This window comes from Homo sapiens, chromosome 5, assembly GCF_000001405.40.
Source record: "Homo sapiens chromosome 5, GRCh38.p14 Primary Assembly".
Taxonomy (NCBI): domain Eukaryota; kingdom Metazoa; phylum Chordata; class Mammalia; order Primates; family Hominidae; genus Homo; species Homo sapiens.
The window spans coordinates 84,128,300-84,151,007 of NC_000005.10; the positions used below are offsets into that span (position 1 = coordinate 84,128,300).

General features: G+C 33.6%; 1 protein-coding gene across 2 annotated transcripts in view; it reads right to left on the reverse strand.

Moving 5' to 3' along the window:
- Positions 1-22,708, reverse strand: part of EDIL3 (EGF like repeats and discoidin domains 3) — a 444,327-nt gene that overhangs the window by 187,746 nt on the left and 233,873 nt on the right. For both annotated transcript variants that reach the window (NM_005711.5, NM_001278642.1), the window contains one exon: positions 8,942-9,055. In NM_005711.5, the coding sequence (NP_005702.3) occupies positions 8,942-9,055 (114 nt within the window). The remainder of the gene's footprint in view (positions 1-8,941; positions 9,056-22,708) is intronic.

Sequence of the window (22,708 nt, forward strand, 5' to 3'; positions counted from 1 at the left end):
TTCTGAGAAAGGCGTTTGTCTCTGCTTTTATCAGCAGTGTGATAAAAGCGGAAATCCCGGTGGTTTGTGCTATAATTTCCCCATTGTGAAATAACCAATTGAACCTCACTCTGACAGTCGGCCCAAAATTTCACCTAAGTACCCAAGAACGCCACATTAACATGTAGAAGATACTGTCTGGCCCACAAATTAACAATTTAACAGTGTTCCAACTTTCTAGTCCCAGGATGACTTCTTTTCTAGTAGTTTCCTAACAGAGAGGTTTTTTTGTGTTTTTTGTTTTGTATATATTTTATTTGGGTTGTCCCCCTGCTCCTTTTGTAAGGGTGAGGGTTGGAGTGATAGCTGAAAGAGTGATATTTTCAGTTTGAGAAAAATGCAATATTTTTCAATCATCCACTACAGTTCTAAATTTTATGAGAACTAAATCAAGTTATGCCGTTCTCAAACTCTCTTGATGTCTGAGTACTTCATCTTTCTTTGTCTTTGAACTGGAAAATATAAGAGCAAGTTTTAGCCTGGAGAATAAATGCAAAACTAAATTATAATCCCTGGACATATACAGTTTAGCACATAAGGGGAATGTTGAAATAATTTGAAAACAAAAACTTCTTACGGAATGTTTCAGTAATTATTTGCAATTAAATACAAAACTGTCAGGTAATGAGAATACGACTCCATTTGTTGGAAGTATTTAACAAGTCCCACATGGTCTATTTGAACATTTTGCAGATACTTGTTTGTCTTTCCTTTACTACATTATAACTTTAAGGTACAGTAGGTGAACCTTCAAAGTGTGATAATTCTGTACAAAACTGTTGTGTAACATTTGGAAAATCAGAGGCATCTGAAGGAAGATAGAACTTCCATGTCAGGCACAAATAATCCAATTTGCTTTTGTTATTGAGTCAATTTTTTGTGTTTATTGTTTCAAAAACTTCATCCTGCAGTAACGTTGAAATTGTTTCTTTCTTTATTGATATACTTGCATAGAGTTCTGGATTTTTTTAACTCACAAAAATATGTTTTAAAAGAAGTGAGAAATTAAGTTAAAATAATTATATATTCAAGTATATATGGTTACAGTTATTTGTAAATGTATCTCTATATATTTATAGGTAGATTTTAAATGTTATGCACCTCAGATTTACCCATAGTCAATTCCTTTATTTATTTATTTTTAATGTTCACAAAAGGTATCAGCCTGAGGCAAACTGTCCTTCTGTCCCACTGGAGTTTTGGATTAATTTTTATTTTATGTATTTCAAGCAAAGTAGAACAATCTTAAGTTAAATTAGCCAATGCTTTCAGAGACAAAAATCATTACCAAAGTACCCTGTTCAAATTTCTAAAACAGAGCAGATATTTGTTATATGGAATAAAATAGGATTAAAATTAAATATTTATTTTTCTTTGTTTCTCTTTGATTTCTTGTTACATTTACAAGTTAAAATCTATTCTGATGTTTTAAAAATCCCTTGTGATTGCACAAAAACATATTTATAAGATGAATTTTTAGTATATAAACATGGTTTGGCATGGACAGATCACAACCCCAAATGAAATTTCATGACTCTATATTGTTAAGGCCTAAAAGATAAGATATACTAAAGGTGCTATCACATGTTGGTTAAATAACAATCTTAACTCATCCACTAAATATTAAGATTCTTAAAGACAAAGGATCTGTTTATTCTTGAGGATAAACAAAGGATGTGTTTATTCTTGAGGATTCTCAAAGGATCTATTTATTCATCATTTTCTTTGTAAAATTCTCATCTCTACCACCCCTCCTCTTTCTGTTTGAGTATATACTATACATTCTTATGGTCTCGGCTTTCATGCCACTTTCCTAACTCCCCCAAACAAAAGGCTTCCCTGTCATAGGCTCCCTCTTTTTTGCCCTCATGGCACTTACCATATCTTATCATTAAATAATACATAATTCTTTTTTCTCTCTCATTAATCTGTATATTCTATGAGAGTAGGAACTGAATTCATTTCAATTACCATTGTTGTCCCGGCTTTAGAGGGTGAAACAATTTGTTGAATGAATGAGTTTATTCATGTATGTTCTTGTAATCTTGTACACAGTTACGCTAAGAAAAGCTCAGTAAATATTTGTGGCTAGTTTATTTGATCATATAATTGAATACATTCACTATATTGCAACATCAGACTTAGGCAGTTTTCTTGTAAAACTTATGTGTGTTTTCATTCTAATTTTCACTTCCTTATAGACACCTTTTTTAAAAAAATTATTTACTTCAGAATTTCTCTATGTTTTCCTTTTGTCTTGTCACAGCTGGATAGGGAAGAGTAGGAATTTAGTATTATATTATATAAAACTATAATCTCTGACCACTTTTTAAGAAAATACTGGAATTATTAATTCTGCTCTTGTAATTCACTAAAATCACTGCAAACATTCATTTGCTTGTCATTCGCTAAGATACCTGATCAAATAACAGTGACATCTTACAATAACTGCAAACATACAAAAAGATAAATCAAATTGGGTATTTGTAGTTCATATGTTTTGATAGCCTTTTACAAAAAACACAGCAACTATCTCCTATAATGATTTTGGGTAAATAATATTTATTTAAACTTATATTAATGCCACAGGAATTTTTAAACTTATGTATCTGTAAAACATGGTATGTAGGCATTATACCTAACATCTACACTGCTTGTTCTCAAGGACATACACTAATTTACTAAAGAAGGACAAGTTGTTTGCATAAATAATAAAACTTAAAATCACACATTATGACAAAAGAAAAGGTGAGATATACAGGTATTTTTTTTTCAAATAACTAAAAAATCCTATGTATATATATTTATGCAATTATTTCTTTATAACAGTTATTGACCTAGGTGTTTTACTAGGTATTTTAGGTATTTTACATATGCTATGAATTTTAATCTGCCTATCAATCTACATCCATCAAAAGATAGTATCAATTCCATCTGCAGATAAAGAATCTGAGGCTCAGAAGGGGCAATGTACTTGTCAGGACATATAGTTACAAATAGAAAATGTTTAAACTTCCAGTTCTATTTGAATGTAAAGCCTGCACTCTTTCCTCTTATGCTGTTGTCACTTGCCAAGGCCACTCATCAAGTGTAAGTGTTTTTAATATGTAGAGTATAATAACAGCATCCCTTTACCCTACAAAAAACAGGATCATATCATGCTTAGGGCTGCAGGCTCTGCAACTGCAATGCCTGGGATTAAGGCCAGGTTCTGAAGTTTACTAGCCAGGCCAACCTATGCAAATTAATCACTCAATAGCTCAGTCTGCTCTATAAAATGGAATCAGTAGTAAAGAGTATCTAGTACAAAGAATGCTGAGAGGATTAAAAAATCAATATTTAAAGTACTTAGGAAAGTGCTTGACACATAGTAATGCTTAAAATCAACATACATGAACTGGTGAAAAGATACAGTTTAGTAAACAAAAAAGATTTGCCTGTCATTATTTATAAATTTGTCTTTTAAAAAGCAATAATTAAATATTGAGCATAACAATACAAATCTCATCATGTATTTATCTCTACAATGTTTCAGCAATTTTCAGTGAACAAGTATGTACTTAAACAAATATACTTGGTAGTACACATTGATATCAAAAGAAAGAATATAGGGGCTGGGCACCGTGGCTCACACCTTTAATCCCAGCACTTTGGGAGATTGAGGTGGGCGGATCTCCTGAGGTCAGGAGTTTGAGATCAGCCTGGCTAATATGGTGAAACCCCGTCTCTACTAAAAATACAAAAAAAATAGCCTGGCGTGGTGGCAGGCACCTGTAATCCCAGCTACTTGGGAGGCTGAGGCAGGAGAATTGCTTGAACCTGGGAGGTGGAGGTTGCAGCCAGCCGACATCGCACTACAGCACTCTAGCCACCTGGGAGACGGAGAGAGACTCCGTCTTTAAAAAAAAAGAAAAAATATATATATAATATATCTTTTTTTCATATATAGTATATATTTTATATATAATATATATTATATATATTTTATATAATATATATTATATATATTTTATACATAATATATATTATATATATTATATATAATATATTTTATATATAATATATATTTTAACATATATTATATATTTTATATATAATATATATTTTAACATATATTATGTATTTTATATATAATATATATTTTAATATATATTATATATTTTATATATAATATATATTTTAATATATATTATATATTTTATATATAATATATATTTTATATATTTTTAATATATAATATATATTTTATATATTTTTAATATATATTATATAAATATACACACAGTATATATTGTCTATGTTTATGTGCTTGGAAATACTAGCTAATTTATAATTATGGCTAAAACAGTTAAAGCTGCTCAAATAATGAGATAAGAAAATATTAATTTACCACTTTCAAAATATATTCATAGGTATTATTTTAATATCCTTATCACAGAATTCTTAAACAACTATATAATTATCTAGATTATTTTATTAAATTTGCAAAAACTGGATAATTATGATATTTGGAAACATCACTTAGTCCTTACTAGAAGATTTTAGTTTTAATTTTTAGTAAAACCCTCTGAGATCACCCAAGTGTTTTTTTGTTTGTTTGTTTGTCATAATTGTTTGTGGATGTTGCATTATAAGAGCTCCCTTGAAATCTGTCTTACTTTCCCAAAGTAGTGCCAGTGATAAAAATGAATTTGAGTGGCATTCCTGAAATTTAATAATGTCATATTTAAACAACCAGGAGGGAAATGTATACAGGTATTGTGGGCCACATAGTCCAATAAATGAGAACAATCCTAGTTATTTTTAGATTAGTTAACTAAAGTGTTATTAATTTTCATTGCACTTAATCTAGTTTAAACATCATGTTCAGTTAAATTTACATGACAAAGCTTATCTGTTCTTATGAGAATAGTTTTCTCATTCCAATTCATCATCATTTTCAAGCTGTTTATGGAAATAACTGTCAGAACACTTGAGCTTATAACATTTAAAAGGAATGAGGGTCTGCGCGCAGTAGCTCATGCCTGTAATCCCATTACTTTGGGAGGCCGAGGTGAGAAGATCATTCAAGGTCAGGAGTTTGAGACCAGACCAAAGTGCTGAAACCCCATCTCTACTAAAAATACAAAAAAAAAAAAAAAAAAAAAAATAGCCAGGAGTGGTGGTGCGTGCCTGTAGTGCCAGCTGCTAGGGAGGCTGAGGCAGGAGAATCACTTGAACCCAGGAGGCAGTGAGCCGAGATTGTGCCACTACACTCCAGCCTGGGCGACAGAGTGAGACTCCATCTCAAAATAAAGAAATAAATAAATAAAATGAACAAGGGAATTAAATTAGGACTTTAATTAGAAGAATTGATGTAATGGTGTGATAAATACTACAGGAACATCTAAATGATTTTCACATATTAAACGTAATTTTATGTAAAATATAAAAATAATAAAACTTAACCAAACCTTGTAATAAATAAATAAATAAATAAACTAAAAAAGAATTGAGATCTTCCAAAGTAAATAAATTGTATGAATCACATCTAGAAGTCTAAACTGAAATTATTTAAATCAGAAATATGTATTATTGCCTTAACTCCCCTATAAGTATAATTAGAAAATAATTACTTAAAAAACTACAGGAAACTTTTTTTGCCTAGTATTAAAAGGTTTATTATTAACATGAAATAATTTCATTGTTATTGAAAATGTTCAATAGGTAATTGATTTGCATAATAATTTTTACCATGTAATTTTGCAACAGGTCATAATAGAGTTAGATATAAATTTATTCCTTACAAAGTAAAGGTGCTTAATAGCTAAATTAATTAAAGACACACATTACAGTAAATAATTCACAGTTATTTTTGTAATATTTATCAAGGTAATATCTCAACAAAAACATCTTGCTTTTAATTGTTTAACTTAAATATATTTGAGTTTTTAAAATGTGGTATATCACTAGTTTTGAAAATATTTCATTTAATTGTATTGGCAAAGGCAGCCTTAATATACAGTTTAAAATTGAAAGTCTGGTAAAAAATGAGGGAAAGGCTGCCCTCTGGGACATGCATGATACAAAGTCCAGAAGAAAGGTTGTCAATCATATTCCAGGGTAGAAACCAGCACAGGAGTTATCATCTATGTATTGTCAACAACTTCCAAGATCTTACCTTCAAGCAGCTTAGAGCTGGTACCACCTGTAACCTGTAGGTGCTTATATGTACCCCACAGTAAGCAAATTCTCTAAGTTCTCCATGTGCAAAACTAAATCATTACCCCTTTTTACTCTAGATTTTCTAAAATCTCTTAAGAGACTACAGAAAAAAGTAGAACCATATCCTAAGAAACCTAGACAATAGACAGAATAAAGATCCTTAATTTGTTATATGTCCTTAAAATTTAATAAAATAAAAGCAAACACCCCAATAGGAAAATATTTTAGGGAACTCTCTAGGTGACTCTTTCTGATCTCTTTGTCAGCACACGGAGAATACAGGAAATGCTAGAATGCCAGATCATATGACAGTTGAAGGGAGGCATGCCACTATCACATGCATCTTCAAAGAGATGTCTGAATTTAAATATAAATGTTGTATCAATATAAAGTTAATTCACAGAAAAGCAAAGGTTTTCATTAAACACAACATGAAAAACTGGTTGGAAGACACTAGGCACAAACTAATGACAGGGCAGGGGCCTCTCTCCCTCTTTCATAGCCTTACTGTCTGTCTCATAAACCCTTCATCCCCAGCCTATCCACTCGACCTGTTTCCCTATTCCTCCATGCCCTAGAGCTCCACATTCTAGGTCTCCTCTTCTAGGATATCCACACCCTCATGTGCCACTTCTTAGACTCATTCATCACTGCAGAGTGACACTCATTCCTAGGCAGGGTTCTTATGATATGTCCCCCATTCAATCCTCCTTTTAGGAAAATGGGAAGGCTTCTCCCCCGCAATTGTTCCCCTAGTCAGGCCTCCTATGGGTCAGAGGTGGTCTTACCCTGCCTAGACATGCTCTAATCCAGGTATTGTTTTAATCTATGCCGAAGTTCCTTCCTGGAAGGTTCTCTATTCAGGTACAAATTCTCTATTTTTGCTGAATGAAGGTGAAATAGTCACTGACATCAGTTTTTTTGTTCATCATAATATTAATAAGATGTTCACTGACAGACATCTTGGAGGTGCTTTTTAGCACAACTTCCAGTGTTGACTGAGCAGCCATCTTCAAATTCCATGAAACAGAAATGGATGCAAGTGCTGTGCCTGGGACAGGCCAAAGAGAAGCTGAACCTGAGCTTGAGTTAACTTAGTGGGTGATTAGTTAAATGCTTCACGGGAAGGTTTCTAGGTTAGTTGGTTGGATGACTATTGGTCTAGTTGGCTGTATGGTCAACCTACTTACTCAGCCTTCCCTTTCCATCCTTCTGTGCCCTGCACCTTTCTTCATCAACTCATGCTCAATGTCCTTCCTCAATTACTTTAAGCTTAGAAAGTTTTTTTTTTCCCAATTCAAGATTTCTCTATGATATTCAGAGTTTAATTATTTTGTGTGGTTTGTCAGGACTACAGTAATGAGCATCCCATTTTATATCATTATTTTATTTATATATACTTATATATCATTCAACAATATTTCCTATTTTATTTTATAAATACCATGGCCAAAGAGAAAGAAAGAAAAAGAAAATGAGAAATACATTTCTTACTATGGCTGAAGAGAAAGAACTATGTGGTATGTGTCTGTGTCTGTGATAAAGAATGGACGTGTCATGTATATTCATGTTTATATTATACCTCTCTATTTAAACAGGTATCTCAGTCTTGAGGAAAATACACTGAGTGGGGAATCAGAAACCTGTAGCACTGCTTCTCTCACTAAATAGCTGTGAAAGCTTGGGCAAACAACATCAGGTGTGTCTCAGTTTGTGCATCTGAAGTCTCATCTGCATCTACATTTGGAATTTGCATAATGTTGTTGTGGTGCTCAGATCATACGATATACATCGAAGCAGTAGCAGTATGAACTTTCCTCTAATTGTCCAACAATTATAAGGCTATAGCACTAGTATTACTAACCTGTGTTTGGGCCCATTTTAGGCCCCATCCCATTGACTTTAGTCCTGTTACTACTTTTTTCCCAGCTTTTTTTTTCTTTTTTAGGTAAGTGGTGCTTTCTGCCTCTTTGTAAACACTTAAGGCAAATAACTGCCCTGTCATTTGATGCATCATTTCAAGACCCTACTTTCTTCAGCTTCCAATAAGACAAATAAATAGTGTGCAACATTCTTGCTAGCGTGTGGGACGGCCCAAATGCATCCTCCTTTATTTTTACGTTTTATTTATAACAGAGGCTAACTGATTTATTTTATTTTTATTTCGTTTCTTTTAGAGATGGGTTCTCACTGTGTTGCCCAGGATGGTCTTGAGCTCCTGGGCTCCTCTTGCTGAGGCCTCTAAAAGTGCTGGGATTACAGGCATGAGCCAGTGTGCCCTGTCTATCTGGTTTCAATGCCCTGAATTTACTCTCAGAACCAAAGTGTCACTTTGGTGGTAGAAATTTCAGTCATATGCATAATCATAAACCAAAATGGGATTCGTGGAACTTGAGTATCTGAGGAAATGTTATCATTCTTTTCAGGTCACAAGATACCATTTCTATGCATATTGTGCACTAAATGAGACACCCTAGAGAATATGTGTGCATTAATAACATACCACAAATATGAAAAGTGCCATTTCAATGGATTATGCACTCTGAAGGCAAATAATATTGATTTTGGCCCAGATTTCAAAATAAATTTAGATGATGTACATAAAAATATATATGCATACATATATGTGTGTGTGTATACATACACACACACACACACACACACACACACACACACATACACACACGTGAATACTTACTGTATTGACAATTTCTTCCCATAAATTCGCCTGGGCACTCACAGGAATAGTTAGCAACAAGATCTGTACATATTCCACCATTTTTGCAAGGCTCAACTTCGCATTCATTTATGTCTAAGAAAAACAGAAAGGACAGAGGAAGAGAATTATTGGTAAAAAATGATTAGATATTGGAAAGTTTTAACATTTGAAATACAAATGTCTTAGTAATGCTATTCCTTTGTGTGTGTGTAGGCATGTGTGTGTTTAGTCAGTAATACAAATGCTGCTTAAAACCAACAATTTAATAACCATTATATTTAATCAATTTCAAATAAAATTCAGAATACAGACGAAAGGCCAATGGAACTAAACCACTCTCCCATTCTGAAAATAAATATGAGTAGTCTGGGGAAATATTCAGTGTATCCTTAGAATTAAATCAAACAAATTAACCCTGATAGAAAGATGAATTGGTTTCACTTACAAGATCGAGAAACCTCCCCTGCAGCAACAACTGCCAATTAACACTGTCTCATTTCATCTTAATTCATTACAATTCTAACTGACAGAGATGTTTTAGTTTCTAAATAGTTCGTCTTTGATGAATACGATGAGAAGCAAATTAGAGTTAATAGCTAAAGCTCGTTACATGCAAAGTATAATAAATGTAAATGGTGATCACTTCCTAATCTCATTCAAGGATTTCTAAAGTGAGGATGACTAAAGGGACTTACCTTTGATATACTACTATTACATCTGATGCAAAATCACATGAAACATAAAACATCGAGCAAATTATACTACTTTCCTTGCTAATTTTGGACAACAGAGAAAACAAATATGACTTTGAACACAAAAGAAACAATGACTAATTCAATCAATCACAGATATTCACAAATCATTCCCTTTTAGCAAAGCACCATGCTGGATTCTGTGGGAGCCAGTACAGTAGTTGGAGAGCACACACCACTCCCCATCTCTTCCTCATCCTATGAGCTATTCCAGTTGAGCTCCCTATCTGCTTTCATTTCCATAACAGTTTGTTGTTGTTGTTTTTAACTGTATTACAGACTTGGAAATTGTCTGTTTATATTTAGCCCCTTTCACCTTGTCAGAAAGTGAGCTCCACAAATGAAGTTCCTATCTTGCCCTGTTCCTTGTATTCCTGAAAATGCCACACTCCATCTGGAAAACTACTGAGGCTCAATAAATGTTTCCTGACCAACTTTCTACCAAAACAATAGAAATAGTCATGTGCACAATCTTAAAACATTTTATTCCAGATTTGTAATGTGCCTTCTGATACCCTATAACATATCAAATGATAGTTCTGAAGTCTTGGGCTATTACAGTTGCTTAAAGCAAGAAGATCATTAAATTACTTCTAAAAGGAAACAAGGAAAAAAGTATTTGAAAATCTCAATTTTGCCCTTTCTTTTGACATTTTTTTTTTCTAATTAGTATCCCCTCCAGAAAGCAGAGTTGGTCAACTTCTCATTCTAAGTTCACTGTAGAAAGCCTGGTCTAAATTTCCTTAGGTAATAACTTTCTCTCAAAAAGCAGCCCTTTTGGTTTCTGGTTGACAATCATAGCTTAAGAACAGAGATAATTCATGACTGTGTTCAGAAAAAATAAAAATAATTTGAGTACCTCATAACTTCAAATAATAGGATAAAATCAGAATCTGCTAATCTCTAAAAAGATGGATCTGTGTGCTGTAAAGTATGATAGACTCAGCCGGGCGTGGTGGCTCACACCTGTCATCCCAGCACTTTGGCAGGCCAAGGCGGGTGGATCACAAGGCCAGTAGTTCAAGACCAGCCTGGCCAACATGGTGAAACCTTGTCTCTACTAAAAATACAAAAATTAGCTGGTGTGGTGGCGTGTGCCTATAATCCCAGCTACTCAGGAGACTGAGGCAAGAGAATTGCTTGAACCCTGAAGGCTGAGGTTGCAGTGAGCCAAGACTGAGCTACTTCACTCCAGCCTGGGCAACAGAGCTAGACTCTGTCTCGGGGGAAAAAAAGTATGATAGACTCCTAAATATTTGATACTGAACCTGTACAAAAATGAAGGATGGATGGGAGGGAGGGAGGGAGGCAGTGAGGGAGGGAAGGAGGGAGGGAGGGGAAAGAAAAGGTGAGTATAAGTCATTTCTTTCCTTTTTAAAAATATAATAAAATCTCAGCTCTCTTTGATCTTATCAAAATTTCACTTAGTCTTAATATTAAACTATATTTATATTGGACTAACACACAAACCATTTTCATTAAATTTTGTAAGCCACATGAAATGCTACTTATTGTTGCCAACTCAATTATGCATGACAATAACAATGTTTGGCTACCTTGGAACATGCCCAATATGTCTTAACCTGTATCCTCTCTACTACAATTTGTTTTAGATGAGAACGTGTAACTGGTTAATGTCTTCATATCTTAGAGAAAACACTGCCGTATTTTGTAAAGTTAGATGCAAAAATTTATTCTCATATATACTTAGAGAGAGGAAACTAAGTGGTCATGTCTGAAGGACCCACATAAGCAAAAGATAATTTGATCTTAGACAAGAAGAAAAAGTTTAATTAAGACTAATAAGGATGTGATATAGATGACAGTCAATTTCCAAGCAGGGAGCCAGAATGAATCACAACTTTGAAGAAGAATGTTCATGATATGATCGTGTGTTTAGGTACAGGAGTAAAGCATTTTGGAGCAGAGAAGATGAAGGAGAGTGCTAGAATCCCATGTCAGAGAATGTAGATAGGGAACAGATTATGATGAACCCTTAGTGCAGGCTGAGGCAACTGCGTTTTATTTTTTTGGCAATGAACATTTGGAGCAGGATGAGAAGGATTAAAGGGTATTTCCTTCACCCTTCTACTTTAGAAGAACCTAGTGAAGCCATATGTGAGATGGACTTGAGAAATGAATAAAGGAAGATGGGACAGAAACCCACAAAAGATTTGATGTTAATAGGTACAACATATATTTTAAGTCTCATGTAAGAGGCTCTATATATTTTCTCATTTTAAGATTGAAATATATCATGAGTAAAATCAAACCCAGCTCTTGCTGATTTGTAATGTTAATAGAAGGAAGTTCTCATAGCCAGTGTGAGAACAATCAATAATTATTATACATACTATTAACGATACAAAGACACTGCTGTTTTTTGCCTCCTTAAATCTTCCAAGTCTTTACACCGTAAGTAGTAATTAAAATATGTGAGCGTAAATCTAATTGAGACAAATCAACCTTTAAACCTTCCAGTTATAGGCTCATCAGGCCCCATCTATAAATCATCAGCAAAGCAAGTTATAATTAAGGACATCCGATTCTAAAAAATCAACAGTTAACACCTTTACCCAGAGGTTAAGATGAAGTGGAATGAATTGGAATGCATTTGCTGAAATGGAAATGCTTTGTAGACACACTCAATTTGTGATAGAATGACCTTTTCATTGTTTAAATGTGCATTTTTCAATGTTTTTAAAACTCAAAAACTACTTAAATCTAAATTCATAAAAATATACATGTTATCTTAAGTTATCCATATTTTTTAATACAGTAGCTAAGTTAGTAAAACATTTCTGCATAGGTACATACCCAGTAATACACAAGCTTAGAAGACAGTTGCAAATTACACAGAAGCATTTACGTATTTGTATAATGCAGGAGTTCTTTCAGCAGTGAAGGCTATTTGCACTGTAATTAACACTGCAAGCAATCTAAATGGAAACTGACCTCAATTTGTATAAATCATGTTTAATTAAAGACTAGATAAAAACGTTCACAGAATATAGTGCAATGAAATGAAACTTAAACATATTTGCAATAAATAACATACACCTATCTTCGTCACAGATCAAGACATTATCATTGCCAGAAAAAAGTCCACATCCATTCCAAATATACTACTAGGTTATACCATTTAATTAATGAAGAAAAAACTGATAAAGTAGCCCCCATATGAAATAGAAATTTCCATATTTGGTCAGATTTATAGTTTATTTATAATAATAATATCATTTATAAGGTCTTGCTTCATAAAACAGCTTCAAAATATGACTTTATAATCAAGACAGTCAGCTGAGTCCTGAAGTTATAAAACTTTGCTGCCAACCTTCTTGTGTCACTGAGGCACAGTGATGAGAGCTGCACATGAGTTTCCAGGTATAAACTCATGACTCACCCTTGTTTCCTGAAATTATATATAATATATATAATTTCATATATATGAAATTATGAAATATATATTTCATAATTATATATATTATATATAATATATTACATATATGCGATATATATGTATTACATTTTGTTTTGATTTTTTGGTGGAAGAAGAAAGAAGAAGAAAGAAGGAGAAGAAGGAAGACAGAGGACAGAAAATAATAAAAGGTAAATAGTTGAATTTCTCTGAAAGGAAACACAAATTACTTTGAACCAAAAAGTACTTTACAAGTATTCCCAGTTCCTTGCCTCTGTTATAACTAATTACACAGATTCATTGATTTTATATGCATAACTCAGACTCTTTATCGGTATGTCATACATAACCCACATTACAGATTTGTAAATGTGTTTGATCGTCCTTCTCTTTGGCTTGGGTTTTTTCCTAGCAGAAATGCACACTCTGGAGATTTCGCTGTGAGAAGCCTACTCCAGTAATTGACAAACTACTCATATATATATATATATACACATATATATATATATATATATACATAGATCTATCTATCTATCTATCTATCTATCTATCTATCTATCTATCTATCATATTGAGCACTCCTCCCTTAGGCAATTCACCTTATGCACATCCACATCCTGAGAAATGCTCAGTTACACCTGGTCTTCTTTGTCCTGGATCTTTGTCAGAACCATTATTGTACAGATTATAGCCAAAAGCCCATGAAATTGACTTTGGAGTGGTAGGCTGTCAAAGAGTTTTTAAAATGGAAATTATATTTGTTAATTCCTTATTGGTGCCTTCAAAACAATGCATTGTCTGGGCATGACTTCTTGTCACAGAAACTGTGTGGCTTCTTCTCAGAGAATTATATTGAAAAATTCAATAATCTCATTCTTCATTACAGATTCCGCTAGTTGGCCAGAGATGAAACAGAGAATTCTTGAGTCTAATTCCCAGGAATCTCCATCTCTGGAGACTTTTAAAACTAATTAGTAAGTAATTAATTAGTTTGTTTTCAACTGGCTCACCTTTGCAATCTGCAGAGTAGGAATGGTAGCAGTTTTCACTTCTGGGACATCATTATCCCAGTTCATCCTTGAGTTCTCTCAGAACTCCTCAGGAAAATGCCATCTGTCCTCAGTAGTTTAGCTACATTTAATTCACCAACATGGCTTAGATATTTTGAATACTGACCACCATTTGGACCAGGACATCTAATCCTTCTGGGGATAGATATCTATCTAACCTCCTCCTAGAGAAGACAAAGACAATGTATTTCAACCATAAATCTATCTCCTCTTCATAAGTAAGTACATTGAGGCCCCCAAGAACATCAAGAAGGAACATGGTTCTTGGGCTGAACATACTTTTTTGGATATATTAAAAGGAGACAATGATAGACGGTGCCCCCCCCCCCAAGCTTTTTTTTCTTTTGCGAAGACAAATTTCTCAACTTCTTTATGTCTTTCCCTTGGGCTATCTTTCCTCCGGCAATATTGTTATTGACTGCTAATTGCTTGGCAAGACCTTATTTTTCAGAGCCTGCTATTTTTTGATCCTTAACAACACATCTTCCCTGGGCTCCCCATTAGCTATTACATATTCTCCAGACCTCCCATGAGTGATTGCCTTTTAAAGTTTGACCTTTTATATTTTTCCTTATTTAAAGCCTATGATCTTTCAATTTCTCTTTAAAGATTGAATTTCTATTTAAGATGAATTTCTAGGAATTTGATTCTCCCACTCAGATGCTGAACTTAATTATGTCACAATCAGAATTATCTAGATAATTTATTTCCCAGTCACTTCTGTGACCAGTTTAGTATATATTTGAATCTTCTGTTCTTGAACTCCCTTTTGATGTGGCTTTCTGCTATATTACTAGTAATTCATTTTAAAGTGGCTAATTAAAATCAGCATTATTCAGTCAGAACGTATCACACACAAACCTTTTATAATAATTTATTGATAACCTTCACTTACAAGAACAGTAGCATAACAAAAGCCCCAAATCCAAGAGATATTTATCCATTGTCTCCATCTAATAAAGATCATATTCTCTGTCCATCTCTATCCTGACATCCTAGTATTTATTTTAAGATCTTTATTTAGATGCAAATGCCTTTGATACTAGTACGCAGGCAATATTCATCCCAATTATCTGGGTTGTTTATATTAATTATTCCAATAAAGTTTTATTTGCATTTACACAGATATTTGGCCAGTATGACAAGACAGCTATTCCAAGGGATATAAAAGCCAAAATGAGGGGAGGTAGAGGAGGGGTTATCAAGAGGGTGTTATGTCTCTATAACTCAAATATTTGATGACTTTAAATATATATATATATGCAGAGGCCAGTAAGAACAGATGCCTCTTTCAGTAAACATTTTCACAAAAGAGCAAACCACAACAAGGGATGTTACCTCAGTGGCATGTAGCATAGTCACTGGCCCTGCAATAAATATTTGTTAATTGGTAAGAAAGAACCGGGAATATTAGTAACCTTGGGATCATCATGTATGTACTGTACCAGTGAGTCCCTTGCTTGGGGCAGGTGCTCCAGCCTATTTCTAATGGGATTCTATTAAGGAAAAATGAAATTAGAGCAATGCTTCATTTAAAAGTTGGAGCTCTTAAAGCATATCAATGCACAAGTCATGCACTTAGAGATTGTGACTTAAATGGTCTTGGGAGAGACAAAGGGAGTAATATACTTTTTAAAAGGCATTCCAGTGACTCTGAAGCATAGCCAATGTTTGCAAACACTGAACAGAACCTCTGCTTATGAAGCACATCCATCCATCCACCCTTCCTTCTTTCCTTGCCTCCCTTCCTCCCTCCCACCCTTCCTCCTTTCCTTCCTTCCTTCCTTCCTTCCTCCCTTCCTCCCTTCTTTCCATGCATCCATCCATCCTTAGTTCTACACTAGGTACTAAGAATGCAACAATTAATATGTCACAATCTGTAATGTTTCTGAAGCTCTTACAGTAGAGTAGATAGACAAGGAAACAATCAGTTACAGTGTAAGGTAACAAGGGCTATAACAGGAAAATGCACAGACTCTCAAAGGAACTCCAAATATCAAAACTAAATTGGTCTGGCAGACTAGGGGATGTTGAGTTTTAGAGAAGGAGTCTAGCTGACTAGGGAAAAGTGCTTTTGAATTACATGGAGTTATAAATAGTTGACTCTGTAAAGTTATTTTTCTAAATTAATGTGTATTTCATTTTTCCTGGTATCAGTTGTCTGCAGATCTAAGAGTGACTCCTCATTGTCCCATAGTTCTTTTCTCCAAGTGTGTAAGGTATATATTTCCTGGTTTCCTATTTTTATTATTATTTATACAATTGCATATTTTAATGTTTTATCTAAAATTAACTACTCTATTCTTTCAGCTGCATGTCAAATTAGTTCTCTCTCTGGTTTTAGCAGTCAATCTTAATAATCAACCATTTTGGAGTTTTTCCTATAGTGAGTTATCAGAAACCCCAAACTGGCTTAGGTGAGATAGGATTTGTATTAGAAGCTCAGCTATGATTCACATAGCTTGACTTTAACCATTTGTTCACTCATTCATTCATTAGAATTCTGAGAAGCACTTTCCATGAATCAGGCATTAAAATACATAATTGGATATATCTGTAAATAGAAGCAGCTCCTGTTCTAAGAGATCATTCATTTTCTATTCTTCTACACAGGAGACAGACAATTATAATACAATATGGTGAAATATGTGCTTTAGAGCATTATGTACAAAATGTACTAAGATTATAGAAAAAGCAGTAGTTTTGCCTAAAGGAGATATGGAAGATTGCTTGCAGGAGGTAATACATTTGGTGCTTAAAGGATGAGCAGGAGTTTTTATAGCTGTATTAAATTAGGAAGAAACACAAAGAACATATTTTCAGAGAGAGCTGAGCACTTTGAATTTCTGAAGCATGCACAGGGACTGTGCGAGGGGATACTCTGCATAATGGCGACCATGTAGTCTGGGACCAGATTTTTATGGCCGTATCAATCAACTTAAGGAGTTTGAACTTTAGTCCTTGGATACTGGAGAGTTAATAGAGAACTCAAGAAGGGTGGAAGGGGACATGGGATTGAATAGATCTGCATTTTAGAAGCTCATTCACATTCTCTAAAATTTCATTACTGGTATCATTTTGGAAAAATAATTCAAAAAGTGAGAAGGGAAATTTATGTTGAGTCCATATCACTCAGACTAGGTAGTAGGATGGCTATAATCACGTTTGGTATGTTTAAATACTTAGCTTGGTTCGAAATGTATATAGACTTCCTAATATTTACGGTTGCTAGATTTGGTAAATAAAAACAGAGAGTGTCCATGCAAATATTTGAGACATATTTATAAGAAAATCTTTGTTTATCTGAAATTCAAATTTACCTGGGCACATTTATCTAGAAACCCTACCTGAATTGTCAATTGGATGTGATTTCTCCCTATTTTTTCTTCCCTTTCCTATGAGCATTTTAATTTTCAGCATATGGTCATGCTTTACATTTTGTATATTCAGCAAACCCTAACAAAAACTACCTACAGTGGAAAATCATTATGGACCAAGAATCTTCCTTAGGCTTTTGCTGAAATTAAAATTTGTTGCTTGCATTCTGTTTATAATTTTACAGTTTACCTCTACATAAGGTTTAATAATACAAGTATAGCCAAACAGCACTACAGGATGGCAGTTAATGGATAACAATTAGCACATCCTTCCACTTGTAGATTACTTATTATGTACCAAACACTGTTCTAAGCCTTTTATATGTATTAACACAGTCTACAAGCTAAATGTTATTATTATTATGCCTGTTTTACAGATGAGGAAATCAATAAACTGAAAGTGTAAATAAGTTGCCCAGAGTCACACAGGTGGCCAAACTGAGATTAAAGCCCAGATAATTTAATTTGTCTCCAGAATCTATGCTAATCACCCATATGTTTCACCATCACTAGGGAATATTAGTACTCCCACTTCATCACCTCTTCTTACCAGCCTTCAAGGTATTATTTTATGTGCTAAGAAGGACAGATATAGGATAACACATAGTCCTTGTTCTCAAAACGTTGATAATAACCTAATATTGGCATTTCTCCTCTAGGTTAAAGACTCCAGTCCTAAAATGTTAGTTTGGAATACACTTTTCCCCAATCCCTTTATTCGTCTTAGTAATTTCCTCAAAATCCTAAGTGGCTTGGGTTTAATGGGCATTTGTTCCCTTTTTATTCCTGAAATCCACAACCACTTGCTTATGTAAAAATGAATTTCCTTGCCTCCTACAGTCTTTTATACATATCTTTTAACTTTACACTCAGATGAAAGGAGTTACATTTGTTACACAATTTCCTTTTTAGAGGGCATTGATATATTTCATACCTATAGAATTAAAATTTTGTCATTTTTTTTCTCGGTCACAATTCACCTTATGTAAAAATGTTTGAAAAATAGCATATATACTTAAAAGGACACAAAACAGTAAAGTTACAAGAATTATTATAAAGAGACAACCCATATAACAACCACCAAGGGCAAACACCAGAATCCTGCCAGCAGTCCAAAGCCTTCATGTGCCACATTCATTCAAACCCTCCCCTACACCCACATAAAGGTGACAGATCCCCTGCTTGGTATGGAAGTCACAGACTTGCTCTTTGTATAGTTTATAATTTCGTCTCCTAAATATTTATTCCCAAAGAGTTTATTTTTGCCTGTATCTAAACTTTATAGTAAAAAAAAAAATTCTGTATGTGATCTTCTGTTTGTGGCATCTTTCAAAATGTTGCAGGTGACTGCAGTGAGTTCATTTTCACTGCAGAGTAGAGAAATTGCTCTAGAGTATTTTACCATAAAATGTACCATATGCTTTTTTCTTTCTATGGCTAATGGCATTAGTAGTGGTGTTGGAAATAAAAGCATCAGGGAACATGCATGTACATATCTCTTGACAAACAAGTATGTTGAATTTTTTTTTCTGGGTACACTTAGGAGTGAAATGGAGGAGTCATAATAATGCATATATTTAACTTTAATAGATAATACCCAACTGATTTTAAGGTGGTTATGCCAATTTGCACTCTTATCACCAATTAATACCACTTTTGAAGATACAAACTATATGAAACTTGCAGGTAACCACTATTTCACTTTATGTGGAAGTGGAGAGTGGAAAGGCTTAACACCAATAAATCTTTTTAAGATACGTTTTTACCAAGTGGGGCTTTTAAGGGAATGAAATAAAACCTTCAGTTCACCAAGTTCAATTACATTTTTTTTCTTCAATGACCTTAACTTAAAAAAAAAAACACCTCACACTAAAAATGCCTAACCACTGAAAGCTTGTAAGTAATGTTACATTTCAATAACAGGCACTGATACACAGTTAAATTTTGTTATACAGAAAGATAATTTTGCCTAACCCTTGAATTAATTTCTTAAAAGGAACCTAATAAATCAACTATTATACACAGATACATGTAGACTCAGATAATAAAATTAAGAATACTTCCTGCTTCTATATTCTGATATCTTTGAAATTTTATATTATGGGCATAATTAAACAAAAATGATGTCCTAAATGAGATTTCTAAATTATCTTATACTTCTAAAGCTATTGTAAGGATTATATTATACTTCTAAAGCTACTGTAAGGATTCAATGAGGTAAATTATGAGAAAAATATCTTGTAAACTTTAAAGACTGCAAATATAACTGTCCTTATTATTATATGAGTTAAACCATATTCATATTGTTTGATAGAGTGTTTCTTGGTTATGGCCATGGAGGAAAATATAGGTGAATTTCTGATGAGGCTTTCTGTACACACATACTTCTACATTTGGGTTTATCATCAGAGTAAATAAATGGGTAGAATTTTTATAAATATTCTACAGAAGAGTAGCCCTGTCTTGGAGAGGAATGAAAGGCAGCATTTATCCAAAAAATTGCAAAGCATGTGGAAACTTTAATACACTGAATGGGATAATTCAACAAATACTCTTAATATACTTCTTTCCAAAATGGTGACATTTACTATTTTTTAAACTAACACACCAACTCTTTATCAATTTTGGCTGATAGATCACTGACATCTGTAGCTTAAAGACTTAAATTGGGGTTGGTAAATACAGAAAAGACTCCTTTTTTAAATTCTTAGGAGTTTCAGTCCTCATCAAGGTGAAAGAGCTGGGTGGCTAGATTTCCCTCATTCCAGAATCTCATCTACAAAATTATAGGATATTTTGTGGGTTCCTGGCAGAGCTAGAGGCAACAAAACATCTGTTACACTCAAGGCCACCATGGAAGAATCTGCTTCAAGCAACAAACTCACTACTCAGTGCTAAAAATGCTGTCTCCAAGCCATTACTTTTTATATATTTTTATCCCATATTTATTGGTAAGTATGCCAAATCAGCATATTTTCTTCATTAAAAGTGATAATTTTGGGATTCATGAGAACTCTGCTTCTGGCCTAGACATAGTAAAAGGGACCAGAATTTTCAGGCAGACCCTCTTGTTTTAAAAAACAACAAAAACGACAAAAAAAAAAAAAAAAAAACCTCAGACAAAATACGTGAGACAACAGTGTTGAACATACTGAACATTAAGACACAAAGGACTCTCCCTCTTGGGCCATGGCATAGGGAGGGAGAATCCAGGCAGAGCCTGGTGAACTCTAGTGAAAGAGAGGGAGCTGGGAGTCTGGAGAGTCGACGGAGGCTAGTGTTTGTAGAACAGAATATACCCAACAGGAGAGAACTACACAGAGACAGTTCACCACAGAGATCTGCAGTCCTGAACACTGCCGTGCTCTCTAAAGTACTCAGCAGAGGGTAGATTAGCATTCACAGGGGAGCAAACTCCTGGGGAAAGAGTCATCTGAATAGACCAGAGGGAGCAATACTTGGAGCCCACACTAGGCCAAGAGAACTGCCAATTCCCACCACTAAGACTGGAAAGCAAACTGTTTCATGGGGCATTGGGCAGAGGACCCAGAATGGTTTTGTCTTAGTAGTGGGGGATAATTAAACCTGGATTAAATAAATTATTGGTCCCACCTAACGAATCTTATAAGCAAGACCTAGAAGGATCAAACTGTTTCCAAATAACCTAACTATATAAGAAAACTAAGCTCAAGAGAATATATAGGACTACAAAGTACTGAGCACTCAGCAAGATAAAATTCATGTCTGGAATCCAATCAAGATTAACACTCAAGAAACAAAAAAGATATAGTTGAAAAGACAGTATATATTAAAATTAGCAGAGAAGTAATTAAAACAGTTATTAAAACTGTATTCCATATATTGAAAATATTAAATAGAGATGTGAAAAAAGAAAGCCTAATTGAACTTCCAGAGATGAAACTAACAATGTGTGAGATGAAAAATATGCCAGAAAGGAATAATAGCAAATTAGACATGCAAAAATAAAAAAAAATTTTAGACGTTTTAAGACATACCAATTGAAAATATACAAAATAAAATATACAGAAAAAAATCTGGGCATCAGTGATCAGTGGAACACATATAGTTAGTCTAAAATAGATGTGATTGGAGTCCTTGAAAATGGAAAGTATAAAATATTTGAATAGATTATAGCCCAAATTTTCCAAATATGATGAAAACTATACTCACAGATCTAAGCAGCTCAATAAATCCCAAGAGTAAGAAACACGAAGAAAGCTACAAAAAGGCACATCGTTATTACAAAAGACATCAAAATTATTCTGTAGATAAATGTAGTCTTTTCAAAAAATGATGCTGAAATAATTGAATATATGTAAAATACACTTAGAACTACATAAGAAATCACTCAAAATAGATTGTAGATTACAAAGTGAAACTTAAAACTATTTTTTCTATATCAAATCCATAAACTCCTGCTCCCCAATGTCAATTTTAAGAGAATTAAAAGACAAACCACAGATTGGGAGAACATATTTGCAAATCAAAAATATGATAAAGAACTTGTATATACAACATATAAACAACTCTCATAACTCAACAAGAAATCAAATAATTCAATAAAAAGTGGGAAAAATATTTGAACTGACAGTTCCTAAAAGAATATACATAAGAGTGGTAAATAAACATATACAAAGATGTTCAACCTCATTTGTCATTAGAGTATATAAATTAAAAGCAGAATAAGATGTCACTACCCAACGATTACAACAGCTAAAATTAAAAAGATGGTGTTGGTGAGGATGTGGAGGAATTGAACTCTCATACACTGCTGTTCTGATATAAAATAATGCAATCCATTTGGAAAACCATGTGACAGTTTTTCAAATACTTAAACACATGTCTACCATATGATTCAGCCATTCTACTCCTACATATTTATCCAAGACAAATGAGAGTGTATGTCCACACAAAGACTTGTATGGATGTTCATAGCAGCTTTATTACTATAGTAATAACCCCAAACCTGAGACAACCTGATCTCAAAATAGTTATGCTGAGTGAAATAAATCAGGCAAAAATAATATACAGTGTCTATTTTATTTATACAAATTTCTAGAAATGCAACTAATCTATCATCACAGAAAGTAAATCAGTGATTGGGATGA